Raw genomic sequence first — 3150 nt, forward strand, 5'->3', positions numbered from 1 at the left:
AAATTTCTGATGAAAATTAAGTATAGTCCCTTCACTTTGGAAATGAAATCCTACGTATAATTTTGCCACAAGCAGAAAATGAAGGACATTACTGCTGGAAAGCAGAAGACCCCAGGACTTGGTGACCAAAAACAAATACAGCCTCCAGGTGGGGCCCAACAGAGCAAACCAGTTGTAGAACAAACACTGGGGGCTTTGGGGAAGCCTGAATACAGGTTAGATAACAGATGAGAACAGAGTTTTTCTGTTAGGTATTTGCCATTGTGGGTATGAGGAAAACTACCCTTATACTTTAGAGATGCATATTGAAGTAATGAGAGACAAATTACCATTATGTGTCAATTTTCTCTAAAATGCTCAAGTAGAAAAATAGCTAATGCAAAGATGGCAACATTTTATTAAACGCCAGTCATAGATACTTTGATATTTAATATCTTCTTTTCCTTGCTTTTCTAGAAAGTTTGGATTTTTTCTTCTTCTTTTTTTTTTTTTTTCTTTTTTTTTGAGTTGGAGTCTCACTCTGTCGCCCAGGCTGGAGTGCAGTGACATGATCCCGGCTCACTGCAACCTCCACCTCCCAGGTTCAAGCAATTCTCCCTGTCTCAGCCTCCCAAGTAGTTAGGATTACAGGCGCCCACCACAATACCTGGCTAATTTTTCTATTTTTAGTAGAGACGGGGTTTCGTCATGTTGGTCAGGCTGGTCTTCAACTCCTGACCTCAGGTCATCTGCCTGCCTCGGCCTCCCAGAGTGCTGGGATTACAGGTGTCAGCCACCAAGCCTGGCTAATTTTTTCTTAATTAAAAAGAATTAATATCCACTTTATAAAAATGGGAAGGTGCTCTGTGCATTCTCTGAAACACTGAGTAACAATATTGAGGACCGATGAAGAAACAATCTAAATGACTGTGTCTCACACCAACCTGGAAACAACACAATTCTCATCTGTGTTTTTGATGAGATTTCTAGGCCTTTAAGTATTCAACAGTCAAATATTCTTTATTAAAATTATAGGAACAAAAGTAACAACTGGTTAATATTCAGAGGGTGGGTTAAAATGCTTACAGTCTAATGACTCAGGAAAGGTATTTGTGGGTCCTGTCTGCATCCAAAACCATCCATTTCATGGAAAATAAATACTTTGACGTTTGATGGTGGCGTCTCCCACCCGGCTAATAAGCAAGTTCTGCTCATCAATCTTCTAATATATTTCATTTATTTATTTATTTTTATCTTTTTTTTTTTTGAGATGGAGTCTTGCTCTGCTGCCCAGGCTGGAGTGCAGTGGCATGATCTCAGCTCACTGCAACCCCCGCCTCCTGGGTTCAAGCGATTCTTCTGCCTCTGCCTCCCAAGTAGCTGGGACTATAGGCACGCACCACCACGCCCAGCTAATTTTTTTGTATTTTTAGTAGAGACAAGCTTTCACCATATTGGCCAGGCTGGTCTTGAACTCCTGACCTTGTGATCTGCCTGCCTCAGCCTCCCAAAGTGCTGGGATTACAGGGGTGAGCCACTGTGCCCAGCCTAACCTATTTTATAAATCAAGTCCTTCTTGTCATCCTGGTCACTGTTACCCAGAGGAGCACTTCATCCTCCCTCTTCTAGTCTACCTCAGTAGATGCATAGCACATCTTCCCTCACTCCGTCTCTCTCTTTCATCATATTACCCTTCATGAGAACCACATCGGAATAAACTGTCCAAAATGCTAATTTGTCCCCATCAATTCTCTATGTAAAACTATCTTTTTTTTTTTTTTTTTGAGACGGAGTCTCACTCTGTCACCCAGGTTGGAGTGCAGTGGTACGATCTCGGCTCACTGCAACCTCTGCCTCCTGGCGAGTAGCTGGCACTACAGGCACCCACCACCACGCCCAGCTAATTTTTTCTTTTTTCTTTTATTTAGTAGAGATGTGGTTTCACCATGTTGGCCATGTTGGTCTTGAACTCCTGACCTCAGGCGATCCACCTGTCTCAGCCTCCCAAAGTACCCGGATTACAGGTGTGAGCCACTGCGCCCCACCTAAAAACAATCTTTCAAAGACTCCACCTTACCCAAAGGCTCGACTCAACCATCCTGCCTCATCTAGTACAGTTTAGAGTAAGTCCAGACCCAGTCTCTCTAAACCAGGGTGGTCCAGGGAAGAGCAACTCTTGTGAGATATAAGGGTGGTGCTGATAAAGGGGCTTTCACTGAGCATTGATTAACAAAGCTGGGGCATTCCAGCAATATAGATCAGCGAGAACAGAAGTGCAACAGGATAAACGGAAGCAGACCCGCACGAAGAAGGAAGAGTGCTTCAGCTTGATTTCCATCTGAGCTCCAAATATGGAGGAAACGTGGGGAAGGTGCTGGAAAAGGTTATGTCGAAGTGAGACAATAACAGAAAAATACTGATTTTTGTCATTTTATTTAATTGTTGTGGGTACATAGTAGGTGTATATACAATATTTATGGGCTACATGAGCTATTTTGATACAGGTATATGATGCATAATAACCACATCTGGGTATAAGGGGTATCCATCACCTCAAGAATTGATCCTTTCTTGTTTCTTGTTTCCATTTGTAAGAATTTATCCTTACAAATGACCCAAGCATATGCTTTTAGTTATTTTTAAATGTACTGTAAATTATTGACTATAGTCACCCTGTTGTGCCATCAAGCACTAGATCTGATTCATTCTCTCTACCTATATTTTTGTGGCTATTAACCATCCCCACTCCTGCTCCAGTTCCTGGTACAGGTACTCACTGCCCCTCACTACTGCCCTTGCCACACATGCTTGTATCATTCCCAAGCCTGAGTTTTACTATGTTCCCAAATCTTATCCACATCACTCCCAACTTAGTCACCCAGATATGCACACACGCACACACACTGTCATGCACACACGCACATTCGTGCACACACACACTCGTGCACACACACACACTCGTGCATACACACTTGGCTCCCATCTGTCCTTGGTGAACATCTATTCATTCCTAGTAATTTTACTACCGTCTTTCCTGGGACCCTTCCCTGTTCCCTCCATTCCTTGCGCTGCTCCTCTGTGTTCTCCCAGAACTGTGTGTACCCCTCTGTCCAGAACCCAGGCCCACCTTGAGATATGTTCGTGTGTGTCTACGCCTCCCCCCTCCTCAAG

Source organism: Homo sapiens, chromosome 7 (assembly GCF_000001405.40).
Source record: "Homo sapiens chromosome 7, GRCh38.p14 Primary Assembly".
Taxonomy (NCBI): Eukaryota; Metazoa; Chordata; class Mammalia; order Primates; family Hominidae; genus Homo; species Homo sapiens.